Here is an 18,797-nt window from a genome sequence, read left to right on the forward strand (position 1 = left end):
CACCACAAAGAAATGATAAATGTTTAACATGATATGGCATTAACTCTGATTTGATCATTATACTATGTATTCATGCATTGAAACATCACATTGTACTCTATACATATATACAGTTATTATGGGCCAATTATAAATTAAATTTTTTCTTAATTTAAACTTGTTTGTTGTTATTTGTTTTTGTTTTTTGTTGTTGTTGTTGTTGTTGTTTTGAGATGGAGTCTCACCCTGCCACGCAGGCTGGAGTGCAGTGGCGCAATCTTGACTCACTGCAAGCTCTGCCTACTGGGTTCATGCCATTCTCCTGCCTCAGCCTCCCAAGTAGCTGGGACTACAGGTGCCTGCCACCACACCCGGCTAATTTTTTGTATTTTTAGTAGAGACGGGGTTTCACCGTGTTAGCCAGGATGGTCTCGATCTCCTGACCTCGTGATCCGCCCACCTCAGCCTCCCAAAGTGCTGGGATTACAGGTGTGAGCCACCGCGCCTGGCCAACTTCTTCTCTTTGGAAGATACCATTAAAAAAATGAAAAGGCAAGCCAAAGACTGGAGAAAATATTTGAAGTACACATATCTGATAAAGGATTATATCTAGAATTTATAGAGAAATTTTATGACAGTAAGAAGGTGAAAACTGATATTTACTATATATTTTTAAAATATATTTGCCCGTGTTCATACAGTCATCCCTTGGTATCCATAGCGGATTGGTTCCAGGACTTTCCACAGATACTGAAATTCATGGAAGCACACGTATATGATGTAAAACGGTATATTTGTATATAATCTATGCACATCATCTTGTATACTTACTTATTTACTTATTTTGAGATGGAGTCTCGCTCTGTGCTGGAGTGCAGTAGCTTGATATCGGCTCACTGCAACCTCCGCCTCCCAGATTCAAGTGATTCTCCCGACTCAGCCTCCTGAGTAGCTGGGACTACAGATGCGCACTACCACACCTGGCTAATTTTTGCATTTTGAGTAGAAACAGGGTTTCACCATGTTGGACAGGCTGGTCTTGAACTCCTGACCTCAAGTGATCTGCCTGCCTTGGCCTCCCAAAGTGCTGGGATTACAGGTGTGAGCCACTGCGCTCAGCCCATCTTGTATACTTCAAATCATTTCTAGATTACTTATAATACCTAATACAATGTAAATGCTAAATAAATAGTTGTTGTATTATTTAGGGGTAATGACAAGGGGAGAAAAAAGCGTACATGTTCAATACAAATGTAATTTTTTTCCAATTTTTATTCAAAGTTGGTTGAATTCATGGATACAGAATCCATGGATACAGATGACAAACTGTATATGGAAAGAGATTTGAACAGATATACCCCAAAAGATGTGTAGATGATCAATCAACACATGAAATGATGCCCAACATATTAGTCATTATGGAAATGCAAGTTAGACAATGTCGGCTGGGCACGGTGGCTCGTACCGGTAATCCCAGCACTTTGGGAGGCCGAGGTGGGCGGATCACAAGGTCAGGAGATCGAGACCATCCTGGCTAACATGGTGAAACCCCGTCTCTACTAAAAATACAAAAAAATTAGCCGGGCGTGGTGGTGGGCGCCTGTATTCGCAGCTACTCGGGAGGCTGAGGCAGGAGAATTGTTTGAACTCGGTAGGCGGAGCTTGCAGTGAGCTGAGATCGTGCCACTGGACTCCAGCCTGGGTGGCAGAGTGAGACACCATCTCAAAAAAAAAAAAAAAAAAAAAAAAAAAGACAATGTCATACACCTACTAGAATAGTTAAAATTAAAATGACTGACAACAGGCTGGGTGCGGTGGCTCACACATGTAATCCCAGCACTTTGGGAAGCCGAGGAGGGCCGATCACCTGAGGTCGGGAGTTCGAGATCAGCCTGACCAACGTGGTGAAACCTCGTCTCGACTAAAAATACAAAATTAGCCAGGTATGGTAGCAGGCGCCTGTAATCCCAGCTACTCGGGAGGCTGCAGCCGGAGAATCACTTGAACCTGAGAGGTGGAGGTTGTGGTGAGCTGTGATCGTGCCATTGCACTCCAGCCTGGAAAAGAAGAGCAAAACTCCGTCTCAAAAAAAAAAAAAAAAAAAAAAATGGCAGCCGACGCAAGTGTAAAATGACGTAACCACTTAGTTTTTTTGTTTCTGTTTTAGGTTTTTTTTTGTTTGTTTTGTTTTGTTTTTTTGAGACGGAGTCCCACTCTGTTGCCCAGGCTGGAGTGCACGATCTTGGCTCTCTGCAACCTCCACCTCCCAGGTTCAAGCGATTCTCCTATTTTAGCCTTCTGAGTAGCTAGGATTACAGGCACCTGACACAACCCCAGGCTAGTTTTTGTATTTTTAGTAGAGATGGGAAACCCATCTCTGGTCTCGAACTCTTGAGCTCCAGGTGTCCACCCATTTTGGCCTCCCAAAGTGTTGGGATTATAGGCGTGAGCCACCTCGCCCTGCCCTGTTTTTTGACTTTTTAATCGTAGCCATTCCAACTGATGTGAGATGGTGTCTCATTGTGTTTTTGATTTGCATTTCTCTAATCAGTGAAGTTGAGCCTTTTTAAATATGCTTGTTGGCTGCATGTATGACTTCTTTTGAAAAGTGTCAGTTCTTATTTTTTGTCCACTTTTTAATGGGGTTGTTTTCTTGTAAATTCGTTTAAGTATCCTTATAGATGCTGTATATTAGACCTTTGTCAGATGCGTACTTTGTAAAATTTTTCTCCCATTCTGTAGATTGTCTATTTACTTTATTGATAGTTTCTTTTGCTGTTCTGAAGCTCTTTAGTTCAACTAGATCTTGTTTATCAATTTTTGCTTTTGTTGCTATTGCTTTTGGTATCTTCATCATGAAATCTTTGCCCGTTCCTATGTCCAGAATGGTATTGCCTAGATTGTCTTCAGAGGTTTTTATTGTTTGGGTTTTTACATTTAAGTCTTTAATCTTGAGTTGATTTTTGTATATTGTATAAGAAAGGGGTCCAGTTTCAACATTCTGCATATGGCTACCCAGTTATCCCAGCACCATTTATTGAATAGGGAGTCCTTTCCCCGTTGTTTGTTTTTGTCAGCTTTGTCAAAGATCAGATGGTTGTAAATATGCAGCCTTATTTCTGGGTTCTCTGTTCTGTTCCATTGGTCTGTGTGTCGTTTTTGTACCAGTACCATGCTGTTTTGGTTACTGTAGCCCTGTAGTATAGTTTGAAGTCAGGTAGCATGATGCCTCCAGCTTTGTTCTTTTTGCTTAGGATTGCCTTGGATCTTTGGGCTCTTTTTTGGTTCCATATGAATTTAAAAATAGTTTTTTTCTGGTTCTATGAAGAATGTCATTGGTAGTTTGATAGGAATAGCATTACATCTGTAAACTGTTTTGGGTAGTATGGCCCTTTTAGTGATATTGATTCTTCCTATCCGTGAGCATGTAGTATGTTTCCATTTGTTTGTGTCATCTCTGATTTCTTTGAGCAGTGTTTTGTAGTTCTCTTTGTAGAGATCCTTCACCTCACTGGTTATCTGTATTCCTAGGCATTTTATTCTTTTTGTTTCAGTTGTGAATGAGAGTTTGTTCCTGATTTGGCTCTTGGTTTGGCTGTTGTTTGTGTGTAGGAATGCTAGTGATTTTTGTATGTTGATTTCGTATCCTGAGACTTTGCTGAATAGCAATTTGGATAGACAAATTATGGTATATTCATACAACGGAATAATATGTATAAAAAGGAATGAACTACTGACACACGGAATTCAGATGACACTCAACATCTTTATACTGAGTAAAAGTAGTCAGACAGAGAAGTTGAACATACTATATGGTACCATTCGTGCAAAATTCTAGAATGAACAACCAGTGACAGAAAGCAGATCACTGTTTGCCTAGGACTAGGGTTGGGGATTGACTTCTGGGGCGAGGAGGGACTTTACTGCATGTAAATTATACCTTAATAAAGTTGATTTTTAAAAGGAAAATATTAACAACTACTTGCCAGCAGTTTTGAAAACTTACATGAAATGGACAAATTCCTTTTCAAAATTATCAGACCTTTTTTTTTTTTTTTTTTTTTTTTTTTTTTTTTTTTTTTTTGAGACGGAGTCTCGCTCTGTCGCCAGGCTGGAGTGCAGTGGCATGATCTCGTCTCACTGCAACCTCCACCTCCCAGGTTCAAGCGATTCTCCTGCCTCAGTTTCCTGAGTAGCTGGGACTACAGGCGCGTGCCACCATGCCCAGCTAATTTTTGTATTTTTAGTAGAAACAGGGTTTCACCATGTTGGCCAGATGGTCTCGATCTCTTGACCTCGTGATCTGCCTGCCTCAGCCTCCCAAAGTGCTGGGATTACAGGCGTGAGCCACCACACCCAGCCCTAAAATTACCAGAACTGACTCAAGAAGTAAAAAGGTTGAAAGTTTAGACTGGGCACAGTGGCTCATGCCTGTAATTCCAACACTTCGGGAGACCAAGGCAGACAGATCACTTGAGGTCAGGAGTTGGAGACCAGCCTGGCCAACATGGCAAAACCCCATCTCTACTAAAAATACAAAAATTAGCTGGGTGTGGTGGTGGTGCGTGCCTGTAATCCCAGCTACTCAGGAGACTGAGGCAAGAGAATCGCTTGGACCCGGGAGGTGGAGGTTGCACTGAGCCAAGATCATGCCACTGCATTCCAGCCTGGGCAACAGAGCAAGACTCTGTCTCAAAAGAAAACGTGAAAGTTTAGTACTAGGACTATTAAATTGAATAAGTGGTTAATAATCTTCCCATTACAAAAATACATAGTCAGATGATTTGGCAGGCTTGTCTACCAAACTTTCAAGCAACAAATCATCTGTTTATACAAATTCTTCTGGGCATTGAAGAAAGAGGGACTACTTCAGCTCATCTTGAGAGGGTAACGTAACCCTGCTAAATCCAGAGACGCACATTACCAAAACAAAATCACGGGTCTACTACATTCATGAATGCAGATGCAGAAAATCTAAAGACACTAGCAAATCAGCTTCAACTGTGCATATAAAAGACAATACCTCTAAATTGGACTCTGGTAGGTATGCAAGAATAGTATGATATGTAAAAATCCATACAAATAACTTACCACAATAGATTAATAGAGGGAAAAATGTGGTCATTTGAATAGATGCAATAGCATTTGATAAACTTAACACTCAAGTATAAGTAATGTTTTTCAGTTAGATTTTTTTTTTTCTTCATTCTGATTGAGGGGGTATTGTTAGCAAGACTGAGGGGCAATATAATCAGAAACTTAGAGCTTTACTGTTTTGGTAAGGGACCAACAGACTCTGATGGAGAATCTATTACTAACCATAAGTGAGAGGCAGTGTAACAGTGGTTGAAAGGAAAGACCCTGTAGCCAGATATTCCTGGGATTTTTCCTGTTTCTGTCTCTTGCCTGCTATGTTGACTGAGTCTTCTCTGTAGATGAGAACAGTAATACCTTCCGCAGACTGTTGACTTGAGGCTTAATGAATTAATGTACATGAAACATACAGAACACTGGTGATGCACAGTATGCACTGAAGTCAGTTTCAATCATTTTTCTTAAAAAAATTTCTTTAGAGACAATACCTTGTTCTGTCACCCAGGCTGGAGTACAGAGGCACCATGATCGCTCACTAAGGCCTCAACCTCCTAGGCTCAAGGAATCCTCCCACCTCAGCCTCCTGAGTAGCTAAGACCACAGGTGTCTGCCACTGCTCCCGACTAATTATTTTGAGACAGAGTCTCACTCTGTTGCCCAGGCTGGAGTGCAGTGGCGCTATCTTGGCTCACTGCAACCTCTTCTTCCCAGGTTCAAGTGATTCTCTCACCTCTGCCTCCCAAGTGGCTAGGACTACGGGCACGTGCCAGCACGCTTGCCTCATTTTTGTATTTTTAGTAGAGATGGGGTTTCACCATGTTAACCAGGCTGGTCTCAAACTCCTGACCTCAAGTAATCTGCCTGCCTCGGCCTCCCGAAGTGCTGGGATTACAGGCATGAGCCACTTTACCCGGCCCCGACTAATTCTTAAAATTTTTGTAGAGGTAGTATCTCGTTATTTTGTCTAGGCTGGGCTCGAACTCCTGGCTTCAAGTGATCCTCTCACTTTGGCTTCCCAGCATTCTGGGTTTACAGGCATGAGGCACTGTGGCTGGCCTCAGTAACGTTTTTATAGCTTTCAAATAACATATGTTATATTTTAAGGCCATCTCCATCTTAGCCAAAAGTCTAAGTTAATGACTATGTCTAGACTTTGATAAAATGTTTTCCTTTTCAGATTACAAATTGACTCTTTTCTGTGTGTGTCCCCAAGGTGAGTGATTTCACGTGGAGCCATGATGGAACTCAAGCACTTATTTCCTATCGAGATGGGTTTGTCCTGGTTGGGTCTGTCAGTGGACAAAGACACTGGTCATCCGAAATCAACTTGGAAAGTCAAATTACGTGTGGCATATGGACTCCTGACGACCAACAGGTAACACTTCTGAAATGTGGTGGGTGTGTGACGTTAAAACCATGAGGGCTGGGAGGGAAGAAAGGGGCAGGAGAGGGGAGCTGGTGCAAAAGCCTCTTTAAGAATCACAATGGAAAAGAACAATAAAACTGTCCAGGTAAAAATTAAAATAAAAATTCTAAATGAACCATAAATTGGAAAAACAACATTTCCCACCAATATGGTAACATTAAGTTAACATTTTAATTATATAAAATGTTCATACAATTTTATTAATAAAATCTGCATAAATATGCAGTTGATATTAGATATCAAGTAAGTTGATACTAAGCTTAAAAAAAATCAGGATAGGAAATGGGATGTTTGGTATATTGCTACATCGTAAGACAACAAAGAAGCCCATCCACATGGTAAAAAGCTGGAGGGAAGTGAATCAAAAAATTATAAGCAATTTTATAGTAATGAGCCTCTGGTTCGTTTTTTAAAAATTGAATTTCAAAATGTTCTTTAATGTGCCTATTTGACTTTCATGAGAAAATAACATATAATAACAATAAAATTCTATATTGATAATTCATTTTGGAGGCCAGGCACGGTGGCTCACGCCTGTAATCCCAACACTTTGGGAGGTGGAGGCGGGTGGATCACCTAAGGTCAGGATTTCGAGACCAGCCTGACCAATATGGTGAAACCCTGTCTCTACTAAAAAAAAAATACAAAAATTAGCCAGGCATGATGGCGGGCGCCTGTAATGCCAGCTGCTTGGAGGCTGAGACAGGAGAATTGCTTGAACTGGGAGGTGGAGGTTGCAGTGAGCCAGGATTGTGCCACTGCGCTCCAGCCTGGGTGACAGAGCGATACTCCATCTCAAAAATGAAATGAAAATTTTTAAAGTATAAGGATTGACTAGTTAAAATCTTTATAAAACTTGTGTTTTCCATGTATAGCAGAATACATATAATGCCAGAATGTTTTATCCCAGAGATTTAAGTTTATTATTGGTAAAAAACCAAGCAGTATAATATGGAACCGTAACTTTCATTTTTGAGCCACTTTTTTTTAACTGAATTGCTTTCCTCTAGTCACTATATATTTAATGTTTCCATTTTTCAAGTAAAAAGACAAATATTTTTTCTCTTCTCAAAATTGGTATTATGAGATTTATGAAAAGGTATTTTCAGCTCCATGTTTCTTCCCTTGCTTTCCCCAGAGGCTTCCAATTATCCCCTAGTATTTGTGTGTATTTATATGAAATGCTTAGATTCCTTTATTATAAAGCTGCATTTTTATGGGTTTTTACTACCCCCGAGTCTCAGAAGTGCGTTGCATTAAGTGACCTTGCCCGAGGCACCTGATCTTTCCTGTATCAGTTTCTCCTGTGTGACAAGGACTGTGTATTATTTCCTGCCTAATCCCCAGGGCTTTTTAATGATCAAATGAAGGAACAGATGTGAAAGCCCTTAAAAATCCAGGAGTGGATGTCTTGGCTTCACATTCTTCCCTCGCCTAGAGTGATGGAACCCATGAGCCATCTGTGAGGCTCATCTCATGGTCCTCTGATGAGTTGTGCCAGCCAGTGTCCCCAGCAGACTGTGCACATGTAGGACAGGCAGGGGACCCACTGGGGATACAGCAGTGAGAGAGACGCAGCTCTTGCCTTTGAGGTACAATTGGACCTGTTGAGGAGACAGACCTCTCCTTACACAGAATCTGCTGCCGTGGCTTGGCAACGTGTGGAGGAGGACTTCCCAGGAAGGGCTGGCTGTGACTCCCAAGTCGAATCTGGGGTACGTTGTTCCAGGCAGCCCAAGCAGAGTTCCAGGGTATTGACACCATGGTGTGCACGTACCACAGGGAGTGGTTTCCTGCTGCCGTGGAACGTGAAGGGGGACTCCTGGGGCTGGAGGAGTCGGTAGGACAATGGCCATGGGAAGCATGGAGGCCATGCTGACGTGCCTGGCCTTGAGTCTGTAGACCTTGGCGTGAGGAAAGAGCTGATGTGGCAAGCAATTGGGTACGTGGCCGCAGCCTCTGTCCTGATGACTGCTTTTACTAACAGGTGGGATTTTGTTCTAGGAAAGCGCCCCCACTGCCTTTAAATAAAATGGTTGCAGCAGGGTGCCTGTTGTCTCAGCTAGTCAGGAGGCTGAGGTGGGAGGCTCACTTGAGCCCAGGAGTTCTCGAGACCAGCCTAGGCAACATAGCAGGACCCCATCTCTGAAAAAAAAAAAAATTAAAAAAAAAAAAAAAAGGATTTGCAGGTCACTGAAGCAATAAGGACCCTGGGAAAAATTTACCACAGAGAACATGTGTATCAGGCACTCAGTCTTGTTTGAACTGAGACATAGAGCAGGAATACTCCTCCTCCTGTCTCTACCACTCATTCACATCTCTTGCTTGGTTTGATTTTATCAATGAAAAAAGAGTCCATAGACAGGTTGTGGGCCAGCCTGATGTCTGTAATGTCAGGAGTTGGATGTGGAAAGCGCACCCCTGCAGCTCAGGGGCTCTGAACGGTGGACATGAAGGTAGAGCTGCAGGAAGCCGGATGAGTCTCTTCCTGCTTCCCTGAGAACTTTCTGCCTTTAATGTGAGTTAAAATAGCTTCCAGGAGTAAACCTCTTCCTCACATCTTGAGCTATATTGGATTATAGTGGGATTTTAGGCTACTTCCTGTCAACTTTAAAAAATATAAGCAGTGCATGGCTGGGCACGGTGGCTCACGCCTGTAATCCCAGCACTTTGGGAGGCCAAGGCGGGTGGATCATGAGGTCAGGAGATTGAGACCATCCTGGCCAACATGGTGAAACCCCGTCTGTACTAAAAATAGAAAAATTAGCTGGGCATAGTGGCATGTGCCTGTATTGTGCGCTGTTTTGCCAACTTTCTATTATGAATATGTTCAAATGTACAGAAAAGTTGAGAAAATAAACCTTCCTGAAACATTTTGCCATATTTGCACTTTTTCCTCACCACTCCCCACTTTTTTGTAGTTCTTGTTTTTGAAAGTAAGTGGTAGACATCGTGGCACATCACCCTTATATATTTCAACATGTGTTTCCTGAGAATAAAGCCTTTCACCTGCACAGGCACCCCTAAGAAATTAGCAATGACATTATCTGGTATCTAGGCTACCTTTTTATTTCCCTAATTGTTACAGGAATGTATTTCATAGTCTTTTTTGGTTTTTTGGAACCAGGATCCAGTTTAATTCATGTACAGCAGTTGGTTGTTCTGTCTCTACAGTCTTTTAGTCTAGAACAGTTTCCCGTTTTTTAAATTGACTTTTTCATGAGGTCAGTGTGGCCACCTTACACGCTGTCCCCACACTCTAGATTTGTCTGATTGTGTTTACTTATAGTATCATTTTCCTTCCGGCCCTTGTATTTCCTATAAACTGGAAGTTAAGTCTAGACTAGAGTTGGAGTAAACAATTTTGGCAAGAATACTTTAAAGGTAACATATTCTTTACTCTGAACCACACTAAAAAGTGTATAATGTCTCATCCTAGTCTGAGGGTTGCTGAGTTTAATGGAACCTTTGTAAAAACAAAAGTTGCTAGGCGCAGTGGCTCACGCCTGTAATCCCAACACTTTGGGAGGCCGAGGCAGGTAGATCACGAGGTCAGGAGATCGAGACCATCCTGGCTAACACGGTGAAACCCGTCTACTAAAAATACAAAAAATTAGCCAGGCGTGGTGGCACGTGCCTGTAGTCCCAGCTACTCCGGAGGCTGAGGCAGGAGAATTACTTGAACCCAGGAGGCATTGCAGTGAACCGAGATGGCGCCATTGCACTCCAGCCTGGTAACAAGAGGGAAACTCTGTCTCAAAAAAAAGTTATTTTTCACAGCATGTTGTTAATGTCATCTACACTTAAACAGCTGATTTGTTCAAAGGATGTGTTTTACTTCAGGCTAAAATTCATCTTCCATTAAATTGCAAGAAGGGAATGTAATCCTACCTGGAATTTATTTAGTGGGTGAGGACTCTGTATTAGTTTGCTTGGGCTGCCATGACAGAATATCACAGACTGGGCGGTTTCAACAACAGAAGTGTATTTCTCACAGTTCTTCTGGAGGCTAGAAGTCCAAGATCAAGGTGTTGGCAGGTCTCATTTCTCCTGAGGCCTGTCTCCTTGGCTTACAGACACCTGCCTTCTTATTGTGTTCTCACGTGGACTTTTCTCTGTGCACCCACATTTCTGGTGTCTCTTCCTCTTCCTGTAAGGACACCAGTCCTGTTGGATTAGGTTCCCACCCATATTACCTCATTTAACTGTAGTTACCTCTTTACAGGCCCCATCTCCAAAAATAGTCACATTTGGGGTTCAACACATTTGTTCAACAAAATTCAACATATGAGTTTTGGGGCACACAATTCAGTCCATAATAGACTGATAGAAAATATTTTGGAGAATATAAAAGTTACAGAAGAAATAGTGATATAAACTCAGCTTGATAAACTTAGGATATATTTGTAAATAGAACAGGTTTTATAGGGCTTGGGAGCAAACCAGAATGACACAAAGAGAAAATGTCAAATAAATATAAGTATGACTGGGAAAAATATCTGGGTCCTAAGTTGACGCAGAGTAATGCTGCAACAGTGAAGCTTTTGCAGTTCTGGAAACATCCAGCATCACAGCAGGGTCTGCCAGAGCGAATGTTTCATTGTCTGTGTTCTCCTTGGGTTTAGGAGAATACCTTGCCCCTTGATATGTGAAAATTATTTGAGACGTTGACATTTTGAAATATTCTTCCAGCATGTTTTGGATCTTAGCTAACTGTCAATTCACTTGGAAAGCCTTTCAACTAGAGAATGCAATGAGAACCTGAGCTGTGTTTCCATGAAAAAGGTTGACATGCTGATATGCCACCCAGCATTTCCATGCTGAGTGTGGTCCTCCTAGGGCGGTGACCAGCTGATGTGCCTGAGGCCACTGAGGAAAGGTCAAAAGAAGAGCCCCAAACTTCAATTTGAGACTCCAGTTTAAATGTGGAAGAATTTTGTGGTAACTTCTGAATGAAAGTTACCACATACATGAAATGGCATGGGAAGAAGACTCTCTCCTTGTTCCTGCCAGTCTGGGGGAGCTCCAAGAAGCAGCCCCCACACGTTTCTCTGCTGTGGGAGACAACGGGCTCTGCCCAGAACTCTTCCCAGGCTGCGGCTTTGTCCCTGTGTCATCTCTGATACCCCATCTCCAGAGAGCTCCTGCAGTGAGGCACATACATAATATGGGTGCATGAACCATTTTTTAAATCATCTTAAGACAATTTCAAGGCGTTAAAGCTTATGGAAGTTAGTGACACCCATTTCCCCCCACAGTCAGGGTAGCCCCCTGTCCTGGGTCAAGCAAAGATGAGTATCTTGTGTATGTCTTCCAGGCATTTGCAGCTTCCCTCCCCAGTCAGTGGTTCCTGTTTCTTGCCCCAGGAGCCACAGAGCATGCTTCTCTCTGGGCTCTTGGCCTCAGATGCGGTCTCCTTGGCAGCCTGGTGCTTCCATCCTCTGCTCGGCTACCTTGGTTGGCGTCTTCTGGACCCTGTCAGCACATCCAGGCACGTCCTTTCTGCAGTGCCTCTCCCAGCTGGATCTTGCCTCCTCCTCCCATCGCTGTCATCTCCCTCCCCGGCTCTTACATGGCATGCCTTTCCATCCAACTCGGTCCCCCTTCCTAGGTTCCAACCTCAGACCTCTCCCCTTTTTTCCATCCTTTGGGTGATTTCCTCCATTGCCACAGCTGCATCAGCTCCCATCTGTTTGCTGCTGGCTCCCCACACCTATCCCGCGCTCATCGCTCTTGTCCTTCACACTGCGACACCATCACCGTCACCACCACCACCATGCTTGCAGAGCAACTCCGGATAGACGTAGACGTTGCTCAAGTCCACTGTGGTCTGAACTTAGCTTCCTCTCCCCCCTGCCTCTCCTCCCTCCGGTCCCTCATCTGCACTCTTATCTTGCTTATCATTTATGCCCTAAACTGGGAATTGCTCATCGTTTGTGCCCTCAACTGGGAATCCTTTATCCCCTAAACTGGGACTCTTTTTTTTTTTTTATTTTGAGGTGGAGTCTCGCTCTGTCGCCCAGTGGCACGATCTCGGCTCACTGCAACCTCCGCCTCCCGGGTTCAAGCGATTCTTGTGCCTCACCCTCCCAAGTAGCTGGGACCACACAGGCATGCGCCACCATGCCTGGCTAATTTTCGTATTTTTAGTAAAGACGGGGTTGGCTAGGCTGGTCTTGAACCGCTAACCTCAAGTGATCTGCCTGCCTCAGCCTCCTAAAGTGCTGGGACTACAGGTGTGAGCCACCATGCCCAGCCTGGACTCTCTTTTCTGTACCTCCAACCTTCACTTAGTCACCAGGTCCTGTTGATTCCACTTCCTATGTTTCTATCTGAGACTATTTATTTATACTTAAAGTTTATAGATGATTGTGCTCAAACCAGCTTAACTGAAAGTATTTAAGGTTTCATGTAACTTGACCAGAATGTATCACTTGAAGGGAGGTTAATGGTTCTCCTGAAATACAGGTACAGGTATACTTCACTTTATATAGTGGATGAAAGAATGTAGGTAAAGTGAGTTTTTGAAAACATGATTATATTTTAACTACCCACCTACAGGAATCTCCCTATTTAAAGAATATTCTATAGAAATTGCCCTTGTTTAGAAGGCAGTTGTTTTTGAAATGAGAATTCTTCACCTCATACATGTTTTTGCTAGCAATATCCAGATTTTAGTTTTCCGGGAGTAGAGGTAATATTTCTTTATAAATACTAAACCTTTTTAAAAGGAGGGAGTCTTAAATCTGGTATTTTCTTAGACGCTCTTAAAGCACGATTTCAAATAAAGTAGAAAGAATCCGGGCTGGTAAGTATTAAATAGTCACCATGGTAAAGCTTTTAGCTTTTCAGGTCTTGGCACATGCAGTACTAGTAGGTGGCATTTTATTCTCTAGCCTCAGTGCTGGTTGCATTTAGTTTTGTGTTTTTTAAACCTAGAAAGTGGGTAGGTTTATCCTGTTTGCTTTGGGATACAAAAGGTAGGTCCCAAGTCCCTTCTCATCTGCTAAGGAGGTTTTGCACCCTGTGTAGTCTGTTGTGTGCTGGTGTGGTCATGTCCCTGAGGCCACTGTGTCTTCACAGCAGCTAAGCACTGTCAGATCATTTGGGGAGAGAAGCAGTAACAGTCACTGAATGCCTGTGCACCTCTGGGACATCTGTGAGATGAAGGCTTTTTCATATACATGTTTTGCAAGAAATATGACCTTTATTTGCTATTTGGAGCAGAGTGGAATCAGGACTTGAGTAGTTAGTGTAACAGGATTATTTAAAAGAATATTTTAGTACAGAATTTTTAATTCATTTATTTCAAATGGTTTAAAAATAAATTTTAGGTCAGGCTTAAAATCATGCCTGTAATCTTAGCACTTTGGGAGGCCAGAGCAGGAGAATTGCTTGAGGCCAAGAGTTCAAGACCAACCAGGGTAATGTAGCAAGACCCCATCTCTACAAAAAATTAAAAACCAGCCAGGTGCAGTGGCACATTCCAGTGGTCCCAGCTACTCAGGAGGCTGAGGTGGGAGGATTGCTTGAGCCTGGGAGGTCGAGGCTGCAGTGAGCTGTGATAGCTCACTGCACTCCAGCCTGGGGAACAGAGCAAGATCCGGTCTCAAATAAAATAAAAATAATATTTAAAAAAATAATTAGTATGCAGATGTCTTTTCAGAGATATTAAGGGATGAAAAATGAACTGTTACAGATACTCATATGCAGGTAAACGTTAAAACATTGGTCAGTTGAAAAGAATAATTCATTCACTTTTAAAAGATAAAGTCATGACTGAAGTACAATTTAGAACTCAAGGAGATTTCGTAACTCCCCAGAGTATCCAAGTAATAAATGATTCTGGCTGGGTATGGTGGCATGTGCCTGTAGTTCCAGCTACTCAGGAGGCTAAGGTGGGAGGATCCCTTGAGCCCAGGAGTTGTGGGCTGTGGTTTGCTATGTCATTCAGGTGTCTACAATACAGTTTACTTCCTGGGTGCAGGGGACCACCAGATTGTCTAATGAGGGGTGAACCGGCTCAAGTCAGAAACTCCCATTAAAACAGGTTAAAACTCCCGTGCTGATCAGGAGTGGGATTGCACCTGTGAATAGCCACCACACTTCAGCCTGGGCAACATAGTGAAACCCCATCTGTAAAAATCATAAAAAGTAAATGACTCTGTAGGGATTATTAATTATATAATTTTTAAATTTGATTATGAAAATTTTCAGTAACATGAAAAATAAGGAATCCACATATTTTACATTTGCTTTTTTATCCTTTCTTTTTCTTCTTCTTTGTTGTATTTAAAGTGAATCCCAGATAGCATATCATTTCACCAGTACATACTTTAGTGTAAATCTCCTCAAAACGTGGCATTTCCTTCCATAACCACAGTGCCATTATCACACCTCATCTGTTCCTTACTTGGAGGGAGGTTCTTGTTGGATTGAAGCATGTAGTTTGGGGCTAGCTCTGCTCATGGCTCTGGAGGAGCGCACCTGCAGCACCGGAGAGGCACGTGTTCCTGCTGAGGGCTTCCTTTGTCGGCATAGTCAGAAAGGAAAGGATGTATAAAGGGAACTTTAAAACAGTAGTATAACGCTTTGCTTTCTCAGCTAAAAACACCACAGTTTGTTTGTTTGTTTGTTTGTTTGTTTGTTTGTTTGAGACAGAGTCTCGCTCTGTTGCCCAGGCTAGAGTGCAGTGGCGTGATCTCAGCTCACTGCAACCTCCATCTCCTGGGTTCAAGTGATTCTCCTACCTCAGCCTCCTGAGTAGCTGGGATTACAGGCACGCACCACCATACCTGGCTAATTTTTGTATTTTTAGTAGAGACAGGGTTTCACCATATTGGCCAGGCTGGTCTTGAACTCCTGACTTCAGGTGATCTGCCCACCTAGGCCTCCCAAAACTGCACCTGGCCCACAGATTTATAATGAAAAGTAATTTACAGGTTGGGCACAGTGGCTCATGCCTGTAATCCCAGCACTTTGGGAGGCCGAGGCGGGGGAATCACAAGGTCAGGAGATCGAGACCATCTTGGCTAACACGGTGAAACTCTGTCTCTACTAAAGATACAAAAAATTAGCAGGGTGTGGTGGCATGTGCCTGTAGTCCCAGCTACTCAGGAGGCTGAGGCAAGAGAATCGCTTGAACCCAGGAGGCGGAAGTTGCAGTGAGCCAAGATCGCGCCACTGCATTCCAGCCTGGGTGACAGAGCAAGACTCCGTCTCAAAAAAAAAATAATAATAATTTACCGATATTTGGTGTATAAATATCAACTAACACATAGAAGAGGTCTGTTCTTTGATAGAAAAAAGTCAAACTTCCCAAAAGCAAAAAGTCACAATTCATTATTTGCAAGGAGCTTTCTATTTGCCCTAAGAAAACATTTTCCTCTGCTGTCCCTTTAAGGCTGGCTGTAAGCAGAATTCAGCCTCAACAACTGCCCTCCCAGAGCAGCTCTCACTCCTACACAGGGCACAGAGCAGCTTTCTCTTCCTCCCTAAGCAGTTCTCACCTCCTCCCAGAGCAACTCTCTCCCTCCACCCACCCAGAGCAGCTCTCACTTCCTCAAAGAGCAGCTCTCACCTCCTTCCAGGAGCCTGCTGGTTTTGAATCCTGATGCACCTGGTCTTTTAAGATTGTGATTATAGGCACTGCATAGATTTTAGTTTCCCTGCAAAGACTTAAAAGTCACTGTGCTCAATACAAGAAAAGAACATGGTAATCTCTCTCATGTAAGCTCTTGTACTAGAGTTTCTTTTTTTTTTTTTTTTTTTTTTTTTTTTTGAGACGGAGTCTTGCTCTGTTGCCCAGGCTGGAGTGCAGTGGTGCGATCTCGGCTCACTGCAAGCTCCGCCTCCTGGGTTCATGCCATTCTCCTGCCTCAGCCTCCCGAGTAGCTGGGACTACAGGCGCCCGCCACCATGCCCGGCTAATTTTTTGTATTTTTTGTAGAGGCGGGGTTTCACTGTGTTAGCCAGGATGGTCTCGATCTCCTGACCTCGTGATCTGCCCGCCTCAGCCTCCCAAAGTGCTGGGATTACAGGCGTGAGCCACCGTGTCCGGCCTAGAGTGTTTCTTTTTTAAAAAAAAATAAATCTGACCTGGCGCGGTGGCTCACACCTCTAATTCCAGCACTTTGGGAGACCGAGGCGGGAGGATCACTGGAGTCCAGGAGTTCAAGACCAGCAACATGACAAAACCCTGTCTCTACAAAAAATACAAAAATTATCCGGGTGTGGGGGCACACATATAGTCTCAGCTACTGGGGAGGCTGAGGTGGGAGGACTGCTTGAGCCCAGGAGGTTGAGACCACAGTGAGCCATGATTGTGTCACTGCACTCCAGCCTGGATGACAGAGTGAGTCCCTGTCTCAAAAAAAAAAAAAAAAAAAAAAAATCCACAAACCTACTAAAGTAAAATCTCAATGGTCAGCTTCTACACTGGAAACCCTTACTGGTGACTGGTGAGTGTGCTGTAAGTAGGTTAAAGGGCTGGTAAGAGTGGAGCTGCTGCTCATAGCTCCTGAGGACTCAACTTTGCAATGAGATTTAGTCTAAGCCAACGCAAAGAGTGATCCTTTTTCTTCTTTCCCATCAGATCTGCCCATGACTTTTTAGTAGTGTGAATACCACACAAGGGAGGCCCATCTTTATTTTAAGCCCTGAACTAAACATATATAGGAATGGTTCTTGTCAAAATCAGCAAGGAGCACAGGAATCACAGTTAGGAGAATGAATTGCTCAGGAAAGAAGTTGGGAGACAGCCTCCCACCCTTCAGGGCTATCTTTATCCAATGATTGGTACTGGTTCGTTTTTAGTTATTTCTTTTTGCGTGTATTTGAGAAATTCTGTTGAGCACTTTGTGGAATAAAATATGTTTCTTTAGCAGAAACAGGTGCAGCTACTATGTTTGTACTTTTTCATTTTGTCAGTGTTTTGGTTGATTGACATGACAGTTAAGATGTCTAGAAATTAAATCGCCCTTTGTTATCTCTGGACTCAGGCGATGAATCACCAAATAGAGCACTCAGTATTGATGAATTATAAAATACGCTAAATAAAAATCTTTCTTGAGATTTGCCTTGAATAAGCAAGGCGCAGTGGCTCATGCCTGTAATCTCAGCACTTTGGGAGGCTGAGGGGGTGGATCACCTGAGGTCAGGAGTTCAAGACCAGCCCAGCCAACGTGGTGAAACCCCGTATCTATTAAAATACAAAATTACCCAGGCACGATGGTGCACGGCTGTAATCCCAGCTAGTCGGGAGGCTGAGGTAGGAGAATTGCTTGAACCCGAAGGCAGAGGTTACAGTGAGCCGAGATCACACCACTGCACTCCAGCCCAGGTGACAAGAGTGAAACTCTATCTAAAAAAAATATTAGGTTAAGAATAAAAGATGAGAGGAATTTATTAATATACACTGGCTCTTGTCACATATACCTTCTTAAAGTCAGTTTTTTGTTAATGCAACGTTAGATTTTCTTCATATATCTTTATCAATACCACAGCATGATGATGGCCTTGGTTTTGACACAGGGATCTTGCCTAAATGCCAGCGTTTAGCCAGATGGTGAACTACAAAATTGATCTTCCTGGGGTTCCACATGGCACTGCTGCTCTACAGCCCCTGACCTTGGCATTGAATATGTCCTTATATGTGTTAGGAGGGGTGAGATGTATTGTTTCACATGTGTTCACCACCAGGACAAAGGCTCGCTCCTTCTGGTCAGGCCTCTCTGGGCCCTCTTCTCAGCTGGACCTCAATCTTGGCCTCTAAATACTGCAGACTCTCGGACATAAATTATTTCATCCACACCATCTTCCCTTCCCACACACACACCCTGGAGCAAACACTGGCACCGTTTCTAACAACTCAAGGCTGTGTCCCGAGGATGACTGCTCCAGCTCTCTTACGTTCCTGCCTGAGAGCCTGCCAAGAGAATCAACTGTTTGATAGGGCCCATCTCCCAGGCTTTGTGAGAGAGTAGGGGCCTAATTTTGTTAAGCTCCAGTTAGTAAAGCCAGAGAGCCTAATCGCGTTGACAGCCCCCTTCCTGCTTTTCAGTTATTTCTGCTTCCCTGAATACTGCCTATGCCTCCCTCCTCCTCCCTCATTCTCCCTACTGCAGCAGTTATTATGGATTAAATTTTGTCCTTCCTGTATTAACTCAGGTCCAGCTTGGCTTGTCTTTGGCACCGGTCACAAGTGCTGTTGGGTCTGCTTGCACCACTATTCCCCAGCTGCCACTGGTAGCACAGATCAGCAAATCCTTTCCTCTCAGCTCATTTGTTGAGAAGTTTA

General features: G+C 43.3%; 1 protein-coding gene and 1 pseudogene across 14 annotated transcripts in view, besides 1 other annotated feature; both read left to right on the plus strand.

Moving 5' to 3' along the window:
* The window catches only part of TULP4 (TUB like protein 4), a 279,634-nt gene that overhangs the window by 191,255 nt on the left and 69,582 nt on the right, over positions 1 to 18,797 (plus strand). For all 14 annotated transcript variants that reach the window (XM_047419082.1, XM_047419087.1, XM_047419084.1 and 11 more), the window contains one exon: positions 6,287 to 6,448. In XM_047419082.1, coding sequence (XP_047275038.1) covers positions 6,287 to 6,448 — 162 coding nt within the window. The remainder of the gene's footprint in view (positions 1 to 6,286; positions 6,449 to 18,797) is intronic.
* Positions 14,348 to 14,639, plus strand: RN7SL173P (RNA, 7SL, cytoplasmic 173, pseudogene; annotated as a pseudogene).
* Positions 15,910 to 16,069: an enhancer, noted in NCBI's record as "active region_25355". NCBI's record gives its function as "activates an Ori minimal core promoter by ATAC-STARR-seq in GM12878 lymphoblastoid cells {active_cell/tissue: GM12878}" and the evidence as "EXISTENCE:reporter gene assay evidence [ECO:0000049][PMID:35858748]".

The sequence above is a fragment of the Homo sapiens genome, chromosome 6 (genome assembly GCF_000001405.40).
Source record: "Homo sapiens chromosome 6, GRCh38.p14 Primary Assembly".
In the NCBI taxonomy this organism is placed as follows: domain Eukaryota; kingdom Metazoa; phylum Chordata; class Mammalia; order Primates; family Hominidae; genus Homo; species Homo sapiens.